Source organism: Homo sapiens, chromosome 1 (genome assembly GCF_000001405.40).
Source record: "Homo sapiens chromosome 1, GRCh38.p14 Primary Assembly".
NCBI lineage: Eukaryota > Metazoa > Chordata > Mammalia > Primates > Hominidae > Homo > Homo sapiens.
Genome location: NC_000001.11, coordinates 159,190,600 through 159,209,436, shown reverse-complemented (window position 1 = coordinate 159,209,436; position 18,837 = coordinate 159,190,600). Strand labels below are relative to the sequence as shown.

General features: G+C 49.4%; 2 protein-coding genes and 1 long non-coding RNA gene across 7 annotated transcripts in view; 1 reads left to right on the top strand and 2 right to left on the bottom strand.

Annotated features, from left to right (window-relative positions):
- On the bottom strand, positions 2,937-4,562 carry ACKR1 (atypical chemokine receptor 1 (Duffy blood group)). 2 transcript variants are annotated; one of them, NM_001122951.3, is made up of 2 exons: positions 4,457-4,562; positions 2,937-4,026 (listed from the first exon to the last, which is right to left on the bottom strand). In NM_001122951.3, the coding sequence occupies exon 2, from the start codon at positions 4,001-4,003 to the stop codon at positions 2,987-2,989; it is 1,017 nt and encodes a 338-aa protein (NP_001116423.1). In that variant the 5' UTR covers positions 4,004-4,026; positions 4,457-4,562; the 3' UTR covers positions 2,937-2,986. The 2 variants fall into 2 exon arrangements, with proteins under 2 accessions (NP_001116423.1, NP_002027.2); NM_002036.4 differs by having other exon boundaries at positions 2,937-3,976.
- The window catches only part of CADM3 (cell adhesion molecule 3), a 31,699-nt gene continuing 18,985 nt past the window's right edge, over positions 6,124-18,837 (bottom strand). For 2 of the 4 annotated variants that reach the window (NM_021189.5, NM_001127173.3), the window contains 8 exons: positions 17,361-17,501; positions 16,707-16,859; positions 15,877-16,014; positions 15,397-15,567; positions 12,983-13,073; positions 12,377-12,546; positions 9,561-9,686; positions 6,124-8,633 (listed from right to left, as the gene is read on the bottom strand). In NM_021189.5, coding sequence (NP_067012.1) covers positions 8,515-8,633; positions 9,561-9,686; positions 12,377-12,546; positions 12,983-13,073; positions 15,397-15,567; positions 15,877-16,014; positions 16,707-16,859; positions 17,361-17,501 — 1,109 coding nt within the window. In that variant the 3' untranslated portion in view covers positions 6,124-8,514. Of the gene's footprint in view, positions 8,634-9,560; positions 9,687-12,376; positions 12,547-12,982; positions 13,074-15,396; positions 15,568-15,876; positions 16,015-16,706; positions 16,860-17,360; positions 17,502-17,848; positions 17,904-18,675; positions 18,768-18,837 lie in introns of all 4 variants that reach the window. The other 2 variants (XM_024448760.2, NM_001346510.2) reach the window with 2 other exon arrangements.
- On the top strand, positions 7,015-13,452 carry CADM3-AS1 (CADM3 antisense RNA 1). The gene is made up of 4 exons (NR_037870.1): positions 7,015-7,187; positions 7,816-8,625; positions 9,578-9,651; positions 11,216-13,452. It is a non-coding gene; the product is annotated as a CADM3 antisense RNA 1 (long non-coding RNA).

Genomic DNA, 18,837 nt, shown 5'->3' with positions numbered 1-18,837 from the left:
CCCTTCCTGCCCAAATCACCTAGATGTCTAGAGATGATTTGGAAGGACTTGGACTTGTTAATTAACCTAAACAGTCGCATTCGTCAGCAAGGTGCATTATTGTTAATTAAAACTCCGATTCTCCTTGTGCCCAGACGGCGGGCTGCTGTTGTCAGAATAATTAGATAGCATACGATGGTTTTCATGCAAATCTCTGGCAATTAGAGTTGGCGATGAATTGGGTTTGAAATCCCAGTGAAGTTCTCAATCAGAATTCCTCTGAGGGAGGAAGGTGGTGATGGGGTTGGGGGATAGGGAAATAGGAATGGAAAAAGGGTGTGAGGACCAAGTATTTGTTTTCTAAATCCTAAGGGAGGGGCCTCAGCTTGGAATAAATGAACTATGAGCGTCAATGTGATGTTCAAACTTCCCTTGAATAATAGATCTCTCTCCTTTAGAAAGCAAAGCAAACTGACCTTCCTCAGGGTCCTGTGTTTTCCCAAGAGCTTGCTTCCCTGGCTCTCATCTTTCTGAGAGGATTTTTTTCTTTAGCTAGGATGCCCAATATCTCATACACAGCTAAAGTCCCTGCCAACCCTAAGATTAAATTCTTAAGGGCTTTAAGGAGACAGGATTTGTATTCCTGAAGGGTTGCAGAAAAGATGCCAGACTCAGACCAATTTTAGAGTGGTTGATGGCATGCAGTGGGTTAAATGCATGGGGTGGCAGGTCCCCAAGAAAGCTTTAAAGAAATGACTGAGGTCCGGGTTAGACTTAAGGAGGAGCTCTCCAAGTGCTGCCTAGGTAATGGCAGGGAAAGGGCAGCCCAAAAGGCCTGGAGCAATCCCGGTGGGGGTGGGGATGAGGAGGATGTAGCAGGGGGCGGGGGTAGGGCACTGTCTCCAGCCCACCCTAACCTCTTAGCAGCTTCGGGCTTCTGCAGCTGCCTTTCCCTTGTGAAAGCCATGAGAGCTGCCAAGCTATTACCCAGGAGTCTGGGGTTCTCTCTAACTGGACTGACTGACCAGGGATTTCTATCCAGAGGCACAGGGTTGGGGGCAGATAAGACAAGCCTACTGGTCTTAAATTAAGCCTCCCTTGCATCAGGTTGACACTGGAAGATTCAGGGAGTCAAAAACGCCCTCTCCTCCCCCTCAACTAGGTCAGCTTCCAAATCAGTACCTTGTAAGGGAGGACAGCAACATCTGGTAGAATTGCAAGAGTGGTCAAGGACGGGAGGGGGATATTGAGAGAAGCCTGGAAAAAAAAAAGCGGGGGAAAAAATACTAGAACACATTCATGAACTGTGGTTGGAAACCAGAGCATAATTTAGGTTTGTAAATTATTTCCTTTCTCTTCATTTTCTCTCCCTTCCTTTCTGTTTCAGAATGTCTCCCGCGTCTCAATCGGTCCCTAAATCCCGCCTTTCAATTGAGGACGAACCAATCAGGAGCTAACCTGGTGGTTGCTAAGAGACAGGAGGTGGGAGATTTAGAGGCCTTGTCGTGGCACCCACCCAGGAAAATTCCCTAAGCCTTTTGCACCCTCCTGCCTAAGCTATTCTAACTCATCTCTGCACCTCTCCCGCACTCGCCTACTATTCCCAAGCCCAGAGAGTCAAGCAGAAACATTTTAGTAAAGAAACCAGGTATAGCATATCTTTGGAAAATGGTAAGATGGTAATTGGGTTCAAACTGATAGAACGTATCTGCTCAAGTTTCCCCAGCCTTTAGTTGGGTTAGAGGTAGGAACTAACTGTTTTGTAGCCTCTTGGGTAGAGGGTGAATTTGCTCTTGGTGGTAAAAGCTGTGCCCCTGATGAGGAGGGGTTTCTGTCCTTCCAGCCATCTAAACTTGGGTAGGTAGAGACTGAGAAAAATCTCAAAGGTCATGATTAAGCAGCCAGAGAATCAGGGGTTGGGAAAAAGGTGCCCAGGGGATTGGGGTATTGTGTGGAAGGTGGAAGGAAAGATGTATGTGGGAAATAAAGGTTTATTTCAAAAGCTGAGATTCTGAAAGGGAAATTCGGGGAATTCCAAGCAGAAGATGAATCAAATCAGGGCCTCCCCCTTCAAGTTTCTCCACCCTTCACAACTTCTTGATCTTTTCTTCCCTCCACACATCCTACACAGAAAAGACTAGGCTTAAAAACCAGGGTAAAGAAAACTCATTTGGGTAAGGAGTGAGTCATAAATCCCGATTCTATATCCTGTGAACAGGGATGAGTGCAGAATTGAGTGGGGGTTTGGGTCCTGAGAAAAGTCAGTGCACACGCACAGGTGTGCGCAGTTCAGGTGCTGACAGAGATGCAAGCTCATGGGTGGACATATGTTTTTACATGCATACATCTAACATAAAGGTAGATTCTAACAGATCGAGAAACAGATGTGTACACACACACACACACACACACGCACGCACATTCAGGTCATGCTGAGGAACCTGGGAGAGATGACTCCCAGGAAGTGGCTTTTTAAATTACCTTGATATGTTCCCTGAACTGAGTAACATCCCCTGGGATGCTTCTTTCACCTTCCCCACCACTGTCCTAATCACTAAACAAAGCCAGAGAGGAGACAGAAGACAGAGGCTGGGCAGGTTGGACAGGGGGAGGTGGTATTGCTCTGGGCTTTGTCATCACTCTTCACTGTTTATCTCTCAGTTTGAGTTCCTATTCCATTTGCTTCCCAGAACAGCTTTTTTTCCAGCTAAGCCATCCCTTCTGTTTTTTTTGGTTTAATGACTCCCCTCATGCTCTGGTTCCTCTTCTCTTCTCCCTTGAGATGGCCGTGACCCCACACCTCAAGAGAACATCTGTGTACCCTGAGGGTATTTATTCATCATTCACCTTCTTCCCAAGCCAGCTATAGAAGCAGACACTGGCAAGAAAGTCTGACATAAAAATGTCTCTCTCTCCATTCTCCTTCTTCTCCCCAGACAAAATAAGAAACCACCCGCTTCACAAAGGCAGTGTAGACTTTAATTCAGGTTGACAGGTGGGAAGAGAACTAGGATTTGCTTCCAAGGGTGTCCAGATGAGAAGACCATCCTTCAGGGAGGGGCAGAGAGGGCAAGAGGGTGCGGGTGGCCTGGTGGCAGAATAGGGCGAGGAGCAGGGGCGTAGCCACACAGTGCAAAATTGCCAGGGCTTCTGCCAGGTTCAGCAGCAGGTCCAGAGCCTGCTGGGCCAGACATGTTGACAACAGCAACAGCTTGGACCTCACCAGGAAATCCAGTCCTAGAACCACCCCATGAGGCCACCAGAAAATAAACCAGGCCCACAGGATATTCATCCAGGGGCCTGGCCCCATACCCAATGCCTTCTTCAGCCCCTTGGCTCCAAACAAACCCAATGGCAACAAGACAAAGATGGCAAGACAGGCTACAGTGTGTGTGGCCTGCAAAGCCTTCAGCTCCGTGCTGTATATCAGGGTGCAGAGTCCACCAGAAGCACCACTGGCCAGGGTGACAGGCAGTGTCAGTAGGGCAGCCACTCCCCAAATTCCCACAGTGAGCCCCAGGGTGAGGCCTGGGACCTGGCCTGCACCCAGTCTGTGGCCCAGGGAGGCATGGCACCCTAGCAGCAAAGCCTGGGCAAAGGCTGAGCCATACCAGACACAGTAGCCCAGGCTACACAGGGCAGAGCTGCGAGTGCTACCTAGCCCTGGGGCCAAGACGGGCACCACAATGCTGAAGAGGGCACTGCCCACAGCCAGCTGTGCCAGGACAGGCCAGCCAGGGCAGAGCTGCCAGCGGAAGAGAGGTCTGAAAAGCATGAAGAGGACAGTGCTGCTAGCTAGGATACCCAGGACACTGGTGAGGATGAAGAAGGGCAGTGCAGAGTCATCCAGCAGGTTACAGGAGTGGCAGGGGGCAGCTGCTTCCAGGTTGGCACCATAGTCTCCATCTGGGAAGGAATCATTCACACCATAGGAAGAATTCCATACATCTTCGAAGTCCAGCTGACTTGAGTTCTCAGTTGAGGGGGAGAGCTCCGCCTGGAGGACATACCCAGAGGAGGCCATCAGAGTTACACCGGAAGAGTCTCCTGGGAATTGAGGGGCAGGTGGGAGGGGAGGACAGAGAGGAAGGTCGGGTGGGAGAACAAGGTCTCTGCAGGAGTCAGATGCAGTGCGGACAGTGGAAAAGGACAAAGCAGGGAGCCTGAAGAGCCGGAGCAGGAACAGTCCTGGGGAAGCCAGGGCAGCTGGGGCTGGAGGAGCAGTGCAAGGTCAGAAGGAAAAGGCACCAAGAGACCAGGATGGAACTGACTCAAAGGCAAAGGGAGGGACACAAGAGGGAGCTAGGAGGCTAGCATAGGAAGGAGAGAAGGAAAAAGACTTTGAAGGAAGAGGAAAAAAGCAGGAAGGGAGAAAAGATGAGGAGGAAAAGGAAGAGATATAAAGACTGAGGGGCAAACAGCAGGGGAAATGAGGGGCATAGGGATAAGGGACTCTGGGGCCTGGCCCCATACTCACCCTGTGCAGACAGTTCCCCATGGCACCGTTTGGTTCAGGCCCGCAGACAGAAGGGCTGGGACGGCTGTCAGCGCCTGTGCTTCCAAGATAAGAGCCAAGGACTAATGAGGGCCATCAGGTTCTGGGCAGGGACAGGGGGCATCAGGAAGCCTTACCCCACGCCCACTGCCTGCACAAGCCTCAGGCCTATGGGGGTCACTGGCCTTGGGTCTTCCTGTTTTGAGGTTGGATTTGGCTGGTTGGGACTACACTCAGGAAAAAGGTGGGGACCAGAAAGTGGGCATTTTACCGAAGTGGAAAGGGAGATTGAGAAAACAGGGGGCTTTCCAGCAAGTAGAGATTTTACCGAAGTGGAAAGGGAGATTGAGAAAACAGGGGGCTTTCCAGCAAGGAGAGATTCTTCAAGCACAAGGAAGGAAGAGAGGGGGGCTGGGTGACTTGTGAGGCAGAGATAAGGGAGGTGCTGGGAAATTGGAGTGGAAGGGCGGCTGACTCTCACTGCTCCTCCATCCCCTTGAACTGGATCCAAGGAAAGGCAGTTCAAAAGCCATGTGTTTGGGAGAAAGGTGGTGGTGGTCAACTCTGTCCCAACTGAGGGGTGTGTGCACGTGGGCGTGAGCTCTTTGTGTGTACTGAACTCTGTGTACGTTTGCTGTGTATCATTGTGCACATATCTGTATGTGAGGGGCTTGGCGGGTGTCTGGGTGTGTCTAGCTATCTCTAGGTCTGGGTGTTTCAGTGTGAGAGTGGGAGGGTTGGGGTGGCTGTCGAGGCTGCATAATGAAGCCATTTCAGGGAGCTATTGGGTGTTTGCCTAGCCACCTATGGGCTCAGTGCATGCCTCTTGCATATGAAGTGGAATACATGGTCTGACAAGTTAAAGTAGGCTCTAGGGGACAATGGGACAGCATATTTTAAAATGGGACCATTGCCCACAGGGTGATTTCTATTCATATTTCTACTGGGGGACATAAAGTCTCTGGAACTGTTTCATTGGCCAGGCATCTTAGCAATATGTAAAGTTTCTCACTGAGGGGCAGAGCTGGCCAGCAGAGAGAAAGGGCATCTACCCTGCAGGCAGGCCGATTCTCCCAAGCACATTTCACTTTTTTAGTGGCTTCTTCCCCCTCCCTCCCCTCCTCAGCTGTTTCCCCAGGATCGTCACTGTTTCATCACCCCTCTCTGCTTTTATTTCCTCAGCTAGGGAGACATAGTGGGGACTTTGGGAGCGGTGAGCCATGGCGTGTCCAAGTCAGAACAATGAGATAGAAAGGGCTGGTTAGGGGACGCTGTTTCATTTGTCCAAAACAGCATCGGCTGCTTCATCTCCAGTGTTGTTAAGGACCTTCTGTCCCATTCATGTAGGGCTTCCTAGGGGGCCAAGCACCTCAGACCTAAGGTGCAGAAGGATGGGTACCTCGTAGAGATTTCCCCCTTTTCTCCCAAGACACTAGCTCAAGTTTCAGGTTCAACATGAAGGGGCTGGAAAGTGAATTTGGTCTGGTGGTGTCTGGTGATGCTCTGCAGGGTGGGGTTGATGGCATCTCCATCGCCGTCTTAACATTCTCCAGCAATGCCTGGCAGAGGGTGGGGGGAAGCAGTCAGATGCCCCCCAAGACACTCTCTGGAAAGGAAGGGCTTAGCAAAAGGAAGTGAACACACTTCTCTCCCTTGTAGAGTTATATTGTTGCTGTACATAGATATTCTTGAGAGTGGCCTGGCAAGGGACACACCACCTTTTGAGGCACCAGGCACCAGGTGCAAGGGGTATGGGAAGAAGACCCTCACATACACACATCCCAGCAGCAGCAAGAGGACCAGAAAGGAGGCAGCTGAATGACACGGATAATCCAGATATATTGAGGGTGACCCCTCTGAGATTAGCACAGGAGAGTTAGAAAGATTATAAAGATACACGGTCCCCTCCCTGCTCCCTTCCCCCACCCCCCCACCCCTGGACAGACACACACAGCACAACAGCCCCTCTCCCTCCCACCCCCCCGTACAAATATGGCTTCTGTGTAATATGGACAGAGTGGTTCAGCTTGAAGAGGAAAAGTCATTTTCCCAAAAGCGGGTGCTGGGAGACAAGAAGCTCAACAGGCCTGGGGCCCCAGGGCTCTCTTGCTGTTGTAAGAGGAGTAGGCCCCGGCTTAGGTGAGGGGCTGCCTGTGGTGCCCAAGGCCCTAACCAGCGGCTGGAAGATTCACAACTGTATTACCTGAACTGAAGGGGGTGGGCAGGCCTGCTAGATTGCAGCTGCCCCTTTTTGCATGCCCATTGTCAGACCAGGGAGGAAAAGCTGGGGGAGGGTGGGAGCGATGCCAAGGGCATCCTGGATCTGAGGCGGGGCAGTCCAGCCAGGACAGGGAGGACCAGGAACCTCATCTCCACAGCAACCAGCTGGGGCCACGAGAAGGAAGACAGGAAATCAAAAGGAAGGGTGGGGACCCAGCCTTCAACTCACTGGGTACAGACTATGGGAAAAAATAGGTGGTGGTAGGTCTTTCCAGGGTCAACGCCAAGGAGAGGCCTGAGAGGTGCATAGCAAAGGCTGTGGCACTGACTCCATGGCTCAGAGGAGGGAAATCCAGGGAAGGGCTGAATGCTCTGTGTTTAAGGGAGAGATAGAATGGACAGCTGGGCAAACACACACCCGGGGACTCCTTTCTCCAAGACCGATGGGCATTGGGGGTGGCAGAGGAAATACCAGCATGGAACAACATCCCAGGTGAGGTGTGAACCCTGACTAGGAATACCCCATTCCCAAAGCCTCCCCAACATGTCCCACAGCCCTGTCCACTTGCCCAGGACCCCTGGCTCTTAGCCCTCCTCCTCAGTTCCTCGCTCTGCCTCTCACTCACTCACACACATGCACACACACACACACACATGCACACATGCATACACACCACACACATGCACACAGTTCACATTATTCCCTTAGTTTGGGCAGGAAACAGCTCACTGCAGTGAAGCTCCTTTTAGTAGTTTTGTTGTTATGTCTGCCTGGCTGCTGAGGGAGGAAGGATGAAGGGCTGGCGTTGGGACCAGGAAGGGGGCACAGGGTGGCCGGGAAGGGAGAAGTAGTTGCTGAGCAATGCCATGGGAGGAGTGGTTGCCGTGCAACAATCCAGAGTCTTGGGTAAGAGTGAGGGGCCCCTCAGGGGGGGAAGCAGAGGCAGTTCAGGCCCCAGAGCAGTGCCTCTCCCACTGCTGCTGGAGCAAGGAGGGGCAGCCACACTCTGCTATCTCCAAGGGCAGTTCCTATGGAAAGGGCCCGGCTTTGTTCATTTCCGGGGGGAATGGGGTGAGAGTCCACCTCCATCCTTCCTCTCCAAATCTACTCTTCCTTGCAGGGACCCGCGTCCTCCCCAGGTTACAGTCCTGGGTCCCTGCATGGCTGCATGTTGTCTGCAGGCCACATCTCCTCAGGACTCCCGCACTCATCACTTTCCCATTGCTATGGAAGAGAGGTGTCAAGGTGGCACCTGCCTCCCTGTCCGTAGTGCTCAGGTGTGTGGCTACCAGAGGAAAAGCCACTCCCAACCTTTGCCGACAACCATCCCGTTTCTGGGTTCCTGGAGAAGTCTGGGAAGCTGCTCTGTTGTAGAGGCTGAAAGGAGGGCTGGTGAGAGCCCCCAGCTGAAACCAGCCCTGCCCCTTACCCTTCCTCACCCCTCTACCTTCACTCTCCTCCTAACACTCCAGGGTTTTGTTTTTTGTTTGTTTTTTGCTTTTCTCACCCCAGGGCTCCTGCCTCTCCAGCCTGGAGACAGATTTGATTTGGGATTGTTACAAAAATAATAATAACCCAAATGCAGAGAAGCCACGGAAAGGGCTGAGGGCAACCCTCCCCTCCCCCCGCCCTCCTCCCTCCCCATTCCAAACCGAGTACAAAACCGCACCCAAAGCAGACATTCTGTACAGGGGGGTGGGTGGGCTGGGGAGCAAGCGGGAGGGGCGGCCCTGCGGTTGCTCTGTACAAGTCCGGGTTGGTGACGGCCCCAGCAGTCCCCACAGGGCCCCTGGGGGGCGCAGGAAGTGGGCAGGCGCCTCTAGATGAAATATTCCTTCTTGTCGTCCCCTCCTGACTGCCCGCCTTCTGCATTGATGATGGCCGTGTCCGCGTCTGGAGCATCGTCGGAGCCTTTTGCCTCATGTGTCAGGTAGGTTCCTGTGTAGAGACAGAGGCTTCTCCTCTCAGGAGCAGCTTCCCAACCTCTGAGTCCACCCTGCCCACTTTCTCACCCACCCACTCACACACTGCTCAAGTAATTTTTCTCTTGCCAATAGCTCTCTTCTACTCCACCTTACCTAATTCGCATTTTGCTTCCAACATGCCTCACCTGACCACACCCTTCATGAATAATGAATCCTACCCCTAAGTAGAATCTCATCTATAATACAAAGCAAGAAAGAGAAGTGTGTGTGTGTGTGTGTGTGTGTGTGTGTGTGTGTGCTTGCACGCATGCGTGTGTGTGTGTATGCATGCGTGTGCACGCAACTTGGTGACGGGGGATCTGCTATGTCAGCTTCATGAGCAAAGCAATTGAGATCTGGCTTATGTATGACCAGCCTATGGAGTCAGGCCGCTGGCTAGAATTAATAGCAGAGCAGGAAGTCTGAGAGGAAGGAATGTGAGAAGAGGGTAGAGAGAAGGCATGGATATAAGAGAGAAGGTAGAAAAGGGGGAGAGGAAAGAAAGGCAATGAGATCAAAGGAGAAAGAAAATGAGGTTAAACAGACAGAAAGGAAGAAAGCGCAGGAAGCAATGAGATGGAGATGCAGTTTCAGGAGCTCTCTGTCTTGCAGCAGGAGACCTGGAGGTAGAGCAGCATGGGAGCAACCGCTGACTGAGTGGGAAGGTTTGATTTCACTTGGACGATCCCCAAGTGATCAGGCTTTACTGCGGGGTTGGTGGTGCTCAGTTATCACAGGGTTGGCAATGATAGGGTTGGCTCCATTTTTAATTCCCTAAACACTCCAAAGGGCTGACAAGTCTCTGAAGGCCCTTTCCACTGTCTGCTTCTCCTCGTGCCTGCCTCTGATTGGTCTCCCTGCCCCTCCCAAGTTCTGCTGATGCTCTCTTTGTGCCTCTGACCTTTGTGCCGGATCAAGTAGTGGCCAAGGAAGATGAGCATGATGAGCAGCAGGAAGACAATGAAAGCCACGATCCCACCGATGATGGCGTGGTAGGTGCTGGAGGAGGAGGGCACCGGACTGGGGTCTGGAAGAAAGGGCAACACACACAGTCAGATCTGGGGAGAGCCCTTATCTTATAGCATTCCAACTTGGCCATGAATAGTCTTACACAGCAGGGAACAGGTACTAACATCAGGAAAATGGAGCAGTGTCATTCATCATGCCTTATCTTGTGCTTATACGCCACACCTGTATTATAGTATTTGTTAAAACAAATTGATGGATTAATGAATAAATAAATCTGCCCATACCTAGTCATCTAAGTTGAGTTCTTGGCACTGAAGCTTGGCCTTGGTCAAAGATCATTGCTTTAATGCCTCTCCTTCCTTCCCTCCCTCCCTCCATTTCTTCCTTCCTTCCTTCCTTCCTTCCTCCCTCCCTCCGCCTCTTCTTTTCCTTCCTTCTTCCTGCCTCTCTTCCTTCTTTCCTCTCTCCTCCTGCCCTGTTTCCTTCTTTCTTTTCTCCCTCTTTTTCTTTTTAATTTCTGGGTTATCAGAGTGTTCCTTCTCTGTCCCCATTCCCTCTTACCCTCCTGTCTGCTTGATATTCTGAGCCAGCTCCCCTAGCTCTAAGGGCCTTCTCAGCCTATTCACCCACTGCCCTAAGATCAGATAGGGAAGGAACAGTAAAACCTGATAGAGCCAAGAATTAGGCACTTTGACAGCACCTTACGAAAGATGATAGATGTAAGGGGCCACAATCTATCATCTATGTAAAGAACACTGTTCCTTTGTGGCAGGTGAGTTTAGTGTTCCAGTGAAACCCCAAGCCTCTAGTCTTTCCCAAGGAGGAGGCCTGGGACTCCGTCTTCACTTTGCCACCCTCAAAGTGTTTGTGCAAAGGAAAAGATGCTTTCTCTCATGCTAGTGGATGTCTCTGCCACTGAATATATAGCATCTGTCCTCCATGGCAACCTAGGTAGAGGATTGGCAACCTATGTAGAGGATTGACAACCTGTATAGAGGATCAACAGCACAGACTGGGCCGGGTGTGGCAAAGACATCAGCAGCCACAGCCAGAGTCCCAAATATCTGAGGACTCGCACGGGCCCAGCACACGGTTCTGATGTAGCCATAGACATAACTCTCCCACCCATGGGAGAGCTGCTGTTTTCCATGGACTCAGCTTGAGTCTTAATGCCTCATTGACTCCTTACATATTTTGTCTTTCCTACCTTATGTCTCCTCAGGCTTGGCTGGGCCCGCGTTTCAGTTCCTTGCCTGTCTACACCTTATTTGAAAAGAAAACATTTGTGTTCTGGTTTTTTATGCCCTGCTTGGGAGGAAGGGAGAGGATGAGTCCAGGAAATCTATGATATGATTGGGGTGGAGGTGATGGTGTAACTTGGAGGAAGCAGAGTGAGTTACCTGCTGTCTCTCTCTCAGGGAGTATGCGAGACAGTCCACATGGAAAATCAATCCTGGATACTTATTCCACAGGCTATGGAAATGGCAGTTCCTTAGAAAAGCACAGGTTTCCATGGCCAAACGACCTCTGGGGTCATCAATTACAGGCCCCTGTCTCTAGGTAGAACTGCATTTAATTTCGTTCCAGTCCCGCCCACTTAAGGATATTCCTGGAAGAAGATGCAGTAGCTCCTTCTACCACCAGGCGTCAGCACTGGAAACAGACGCAGTCCAACAGGACTCCCTCTGCCTGGCTGTTGAGCACAAAGCAGAGGGGAGATCAGCAAGATACCAACCACAAGGGCACAAGAACTTTCTCTCACTGCCAATCATCATCAGATTGGTCTGGAGAGATCTGGGGGCAGAGACCGGAGCTCAGTGCATTGTCCTTGCTCTTGGCATCCTACAATAGCCTTGTTGTGCTGAGGCAGCTCCCACATGCTGAGGTCTGCCCCTGGAGTGGGAATCACCCATCCAGACATTCTGATCCCAAGAACTCAGACCTCTTATCGCTGGGAGGCCTGGCTCTTATCCCCTCAACTGTTTTAATGAGTGTCTCAAGTAAGGGAGCCTCTGATGTTTCCCCGACAATGCATTTCCCCTATTCTGAGAAAAGATAAGACTTTCTGGCGGGACCCACAGCCATTGGGATCTTCAAAAAAATCGCCCGTCAACTCTCCATAAAGGGGCCTCTGTGTCACCCTGTCACTACTCCTGAAGCTGGGTTTTGTGGTCACAGCTTTGAGAAGAACTTCAGAGAAGGAGCATCACCTGGTCCTTCTAGAAGATATGGCATCTGAGAAAAGATTCTGTCTCTTGGCATAGTACAAGCTTCTCTCTATTTTCTGTCCAGACCCAGTACACTGTGCTTAAGGTGGGCAGAAAAAAAAATGACAGCAGTTGCATGCACCCAATACCTAGTCTTAGGAGAAGCAACTCTGAGAAGAGCCAGTTAGAGAAGGAAATGCACCTGCGCCTGCACTTGAGAGGCTTTGGGGCCTCTGCACACAGAATTATTGTTCTTGTTGTCAGACAAGTGCAGGGGATGGAAGATGGTGTCACCCAGGCCACCACTACCAAAGAAAGGCAGATGAGAGCCCACCCTTCTAATGTTTTTTCACTAAGCGGCCATTACACATTCTAGAGTGGACCTGGGACCTAAGCCCTCAGGGACCCCAGTGGTGGGCTGGTTTTCCTTTACTCCACTCCCCGTCACAGTTTGGGGATGTTATCAGGAAGCATTTTAAAAAAGGGAATAAGATGGACAGAGAAAGGAGATTCTGGAGGAAGAGAACTGAGGAGGGCTTACCATTAACATTGAGGGTGTAGTAGGCCTTGTAGCTGCCCATGTTGCTGGTGGCTGTGCAGCCGTAGGTGCCACTGTCACTCTTGTTGAGGAAAGGGAAGATCAGGGCACTCTCCTGGGTCATCTTCAGGGGTGGCACACTGCCCTCCTTCTCCCATAGGTACTGCTGGGGGCTGTCGAGGCAGACAAATCAGAAGAGCTCAGGAGAGCATAGGCCAGGGAGCTAAAAGAAAAAAAAAAATAACTGGGAGCAGGGATGTCAAGGACTGTTTGATGAGGCTGGAGAAATTATCGGGGCCAGAGACACTGGAGCTGCTATACGCCAGGTGGCCTCTTGGGGTTCGTTCTGGGGAAGCTGTAGATCTCCAGACTTGTATCTTACTTTAACTTGGCCTTTGTGGGAAACTCAGGGACTGAGTTAGGGAGTGGCCCCTTCCCATTTGTGCTGCTTTGCAGAAGAACTAATTGCAGGCGGACATTATTGGACAGTCAGGGAAATGAGAGGCTCAGGTCAGACAATACAGAGGAGATAGGAAGGAGCTGTTATGTGAAGAAGGCAATCTGAGAATGTGGAGAGTAAGGAGGAGACCAGGAAATGGATCTTCTTACACTGGATTGCCGCGACCCTCACAGTGTAGCAACAGCTTCTGGCCCTCACGAGGATGGGGAGGGTCTGGCCTAATCATCGCAGTTGGTGTGTCTGTGGAGAAGGAAATGGTATCAATGAATACCTCCCCACACGGCTTAGGAGATTCCCTCACTTAGTTGCACACTACAGCTTCTACCTCTAAATGTTTCCGCAGCTCAAGAAGTGCAACAAAGACCTTCCTTCTCCTACTTCTCATGAACAAGGACCATTATTGCTATTGAATATGTGAGCAACTTCTCTTGCAACCTTGTGTGATAGGATTCTGGAAGGTCTGTCCTTGGTGGGCCCTAAGAGATGTCTTAACAGAAAGCTGAGAAGGGAAATGAGTGGTTTACCTGTGCCTAGCAAACCTCCTAGCACATAGGAAAGACCTAATACATATTTTTTACAGAACAAATAAAGTTGAACTTGTCACATATTGAGCTCACAACTTCTCAGTTCTCTCTGCTCTGCAAGGGAGCTTAGAACTGGAAGCAATGCTTGAACACAAAACATCATTTTGAATGGTCAGTGCAAACACGAAGTGAGAGCTTTGAAACAGCAAGAGACCAGGGTCATATTTTGGCTGCAAAAAGGCACTGACACAATATAGAAGGGCTCTGTGAAGGAAGAATGGCATCTGCCATTGACGCCGAAGGGCTGCTTAGGAGGCTAGGTCCAGATGGCCGCTCAGAACAATACAACCAGATGCTGGTCGAGAACAACAGATAAAGAGGCTGAGCTTCCCCTAAGGATAGAGCCAACTTTAACAACCAGTTAATGAACGTGTTTCAGCCAAATCAAATGGGACATAGAGAATCAGGCCAGGTGAAAGAATAGGCGTTCTGGGACCCCATGGCCATAGAAACCTCTAGCACAGTGCCTGGAGCATAGCATTTGTTGACTGACTGCTGATCACAGTTGGGCTAAAAGGGTCCCTGGCGAGTAACTGCCAGATGGTCTGGTATCTAACAGAGGAGTCTTTGGGGCTCAGGCAGGGGACCAAGGCTTTAGCTCTGGCCAGGGACCAAGGGGCGGGGGGAAAAGCTCCAGGTCAGGGCCTCACACTAGGAACTAATAATCAGAGAAGCACCTTATAGGAATATAGAACTTTGACATTTACAAAGTTCTTTCACATGCATTGTTTTATTTATCCTCACAATAACTCAGCAAAGTAAGCAGGAGCCACAGAAAGATGAAATGCTTTGGCCAAAGGAGCACAGCTAGTAAGCGGCAGCACTGCGGCTAGAGTCCGGATTGTCGGCCTGTGGATTGAGTCTGCCAAATGAATAGTGATGCACCCTAAACCTACCTCAGGTTAAAGTTTGAGTAATGGGTCTAAGATATGATTAAATAACACTGAAGTTAGGAAAATAATTGGGCCTAGGTCGACTCCACAAGAAGAGGATGAAGGGCTTTGGTTATTTTGAAAACTGCCCAACTTTTAGGTAAGTTAGGACAAGAAATACACCATTTCCTAACTCTAACTTCTCCCATTGGACTTTAGCTGATTCTTTTCCCTTTGGTTCCTCCACCCAGAGAGGCTGTTCTTTACAAATTTCTGAATTTCCTCAGATGAGAAATTCCCGTTTCCAAACTTCCTCAGAAGTGTCCTAACCATACTAAAGGCAAATTCCACAGAGGGTGTGAGTGTCCTGGGAAGGGCCAGGAGTAATGACAGTGACAGTGGCCATTTCAGGTCAGAATCCCAGGAAAATACATGGAGCTGGGGCAAATAGAAGAGCAGTCAGTAAGGAAAAGATCTGGGAATAATGATGCCAGGGAAACTGTGCTTTCCTACCACCCATATTTTCTTGAAATCATAAATTGTTAAACCAAGATAAAACTGTAGTGATCCCCACGCTCATCTCTTTCACTTAGCAAATATAGAATCAAGCTCAGTGGGGTAAAGTAATCTTCTGAATATCACACAGCTAGTAAGTGGTGGAGTGCAGACTAGAAACTACTTCCTGGGAATCCTGAGTTACCACAGTTACGACAACAGTTTGCAGCCTGGCTACATTATACTGGCCTAGACCACGGGTTGGTATCCCCTTGGACCAAATCCTGCCACCTGCATTCTTTTGTAAATAAAGTTTTACTGGAACACAGCCCAGCTCGTTTGTTTACATATTGTCTATGACTGCGTCCCTACAACAACGGAGAATTAAGTAGTTGACACAGAGGCTGTATGGGTCTCAAAGCCTAAAATATTCATTACTGGGCCCTCTGTAAAGAGTTTGCCAACCCTGGCCTAGTCCTGGCAGTCTTTGTTTCATTTTTTACCTATTCACTTAACTGTGCGTGTTGTTTCATGCACAGTCACCTGCATTCTCTTTCTCCCTGGTCCTCATCTCATACCTCATCCTTCTTCATCCCCAAGCCCATGACATACATAAAACTTCAATGCGTTGAGAGGTGGATCTGTCAGCTCCCTTTAGAGATTCATGGTTCACAGAGCACACGATGCTCGCCCCATCATCCTCCCGGGTAACCTGGAATGTCACCGAGCTGCTGACAGTGAAGGTTTTACCATTGGGATCTTCCTGTATGCGGGTTGGTTCTCCTAGAGTGCAGAAACAGTGGCACACACACAAACACACAGAGAGAGACACAGAGTAAACCTAACATACAGATATCATGTGGGCCTCATTGTAGACGTACAGATGGTGAGTCTCAACCTAGATAAACTTAGAAAGTTGTGGCAGGGAGAATGTAGGCCCCAACACACACATAGGCACTTGAGTGCACACAAAATATATGTCATTCCCCTTTTCTCTTCCATACCATGCCTCCTGTGTACGTTCACAGACAGGCACTTCTCTCTCTTTCCAGCACCACTTTCTCCTGTAACCCCAAGGCAGGAGGTACTCACCGTGGAGTTCTTGGTCACCCTTTCTCCAGGTGAGCCGGGCTGCAGGCTTGCTCCCAGAAGACTGACAGTTTAGGGTGGCTGTGTCTTTTTCCCGTAATGAAGATTTATAACCAGTGATGATGGGCTTCTGTGGAATTCCTGCCATGGATAGGGGATGGCCAGGATAGGAAGGAGAGGCCCCATGGGGTCACACTTCTGCTCTCCCTGTGGAGATGGCTTCTCTGCGTACCTGGGTTCTACTATAATTTCTGATGGGTAGAAGACTAGATAAATCATCTTTCTTTTTGATCTCCTCCCTGAGGACCAGAAAGGAAGGCCTGCGGGAGACAGCATGGCAGTGAGGAGCAATGCCATAGCACAGGCATGATATATGACCCTCCACTTACAGCACAATTGGGTGGCCACAGAAATAGTGTGAGTCTCAGAGACGCAAAGAAGGAAGTTGAAATATAGGATGAAATATAGGATGAAGATGAGAGCATGTAAGCAACTGGGGTACTTATTTTGGAAATTATAACACATGCATGTCTTGTGTTTTCCTCACACCATCTTGGGAGGTAAGTAGAAGGGGTATGATCATCTCTCTGTTATAAGAGAAAATTCAGACTCAAAGAGAGTAAGAACCTTGTCCTAGATCAAACAGCAAGTAGAGCACAAAGGATTAAAACCCATTTCTTTTTACATTTTATCCCATTGCCAGGGGAACACAGGCTGAACTTTCCTAAAGTGCTTGGAGACTTGCCTGGCTCCCAGCTGCTTCAGGGACCCATCTAGGGAGGTTTGTTTGCAAGGAAGCATGCTGTAGAGACACTGGGGTTTGGGAGTCTCACCTAGCACAGTGACGAGGGACTTGGCAGTTCGCACAGGCATAGTGAAGATTGAGCAGGTGTACTCGCCCTCGTCTGCCAGGGCCACATTGCTGATGCTGATGCTGAGCTCGTGGGGCGTAGAGGTAACCAGCTGAATTCGATTATCTCGAAGGGCTGGGGAAATCAAGAGAATGGAAAGCTAGGATTTTACTGGCACCTTTCATGTTTACCTTCCAATCCCAGGCCAGCTTCTTTGGGGGAAGGGGTCTAGTATGGTGGGTGGGGAAAAAATAACTGCTCCTGAGTTTAAGCAGTCTTTAAGTTATTCAATCACTTTTCTGGGTCATTAGACATAGTAGCCTAAGAGCTACTCAGAAAATAGTTTGGATTTCGTGAGCTTCATTGTCAGATACCTAGGGCAACACTGACTTCAGCTTCCTGTTAGAGTTCCTCCTGTGGGGTGAAGTCACTCCAGAACCCTGTAAGATTATGCATGCTGTAAATCAGAGCTGCAATACTGGAACCAGTTGGGGAACTCATGGCTTGTTACATCCTCAAACAGCAGACCACCATGTTTCTCAGCCTCTGGATGACAGGAACAGTTCCCCTCGGTGTCTGCAGTCCCCTTCTCTAGCCCATGGTTTTCACGGAGAAAGATAACTCATGAGATACTACCTCTCTTCTCCCCAAAGTAGAGAGTCTGCTGAGCAGGGTTAGACCATTGCAGGGATGAGTCCTCGTGATCTTTCACTTGGCACTTGAGCACCACGGTGCCACCAGCCACCACTGTTTCATCAGATGTCCAGGGCTGGCTGTCTGCAGGAGTAGAAGAGTGTTAGTTTCCTGAGGACCCCTAGCCCCTCCTCCCATTTCTGAGCCAAAGTACACCTCATCTAGTTCAGACCATCCAAGGCCCTTGTGTACACAAGGTCTCTGTGTACCCGTAAGGTTTCATGGGGGAAGGAAAAGAGGTGGTGGTGGCGGTGGAGGGAAAGACAGATCTTAGTTTTACTTACTTTGAATACACAGAAAAACAAATAGTCACTTGTTAAATGTTTCCTGAATGAACTGACAGGGCCACGAACATTTAGAGGAGTAAAGGCACCCCAAATCTGCACATACCACTCCACATGTGTCTTTTCTGATATGGTTCTACCATTTACCTCTGAAAACACACAGACATATCTGTTGTTCTACGTTTGGCCTTCCTGCCACCACCTACATATAAGAACAAGAACAGGAGAAGCAGTTGTGACTAATAATCCTAAAACTAAAATGGGGAAAAGGCTAAACCAGCTCTTGGATTGCACATTCATTTACACAAGAGGTAGCTGGTAGAAAACTGCAAAACAAACAAAATATTTTAAAAAGTGAAACATTTTTACATACATTTCAATTCGTCTAACAATAACTTCCCTTCAGTCAAGGCCCTTAGCATATTCCCCGTGGTATTAGTGTTACCCGCCTCCCAACACACAACCCAAATCACCATCCTGATGTTGTCATTTTAAAGAGGGAAGGATTAAGGTTTTCTCTTCAATGTGATGAAAACATGCTTTCTAATCCTTCTCTCCTTAGTCAAGTTAAACAAAACAAAACAAAACAAAAAGGACTAGGAAGATATCTTATGGATGAGGCATTTAAATCTCAACTGTGCCTTCTGGTCACGCCTACCGGGGAGCCCCTCAGGCTCCATGACACTATTCCTGTTGTTCCTTGTTCCCCACAGCATGGATTCTGATTTCCTGTACTGATTCCCTCATCTTCAGAACTGACTCTCTGTGACTCAGTAGCACTGATCCCCACCGAACAAATCTAAAATAGACAACACCTTCCAGGTCTGATTCTAATGCATCCACAAAAATCTGTTCTTTGACACTAAATTGTTTCACCAACATTGCTTATGTCTGAATAGGAAACTAAGAAACTTATTTCCTACATTCCCCTGTAGAGAACTTTAAAACAATTCCATGCTCCCTTTGGCACCTACCTTACCCCTGCCTGTCTGCTTATTCCTTTCTTGGTTACTGGAATTCCATTTCCAAGAAATAGCCAATGGGTGCTCCCAGCAGAGCAGAGGCCCTGAGGAATGAAGATGTGCGTGCTGGAGTTGATGCTATTGACTGATAGCATCGACTGTTCAGGGTGACTG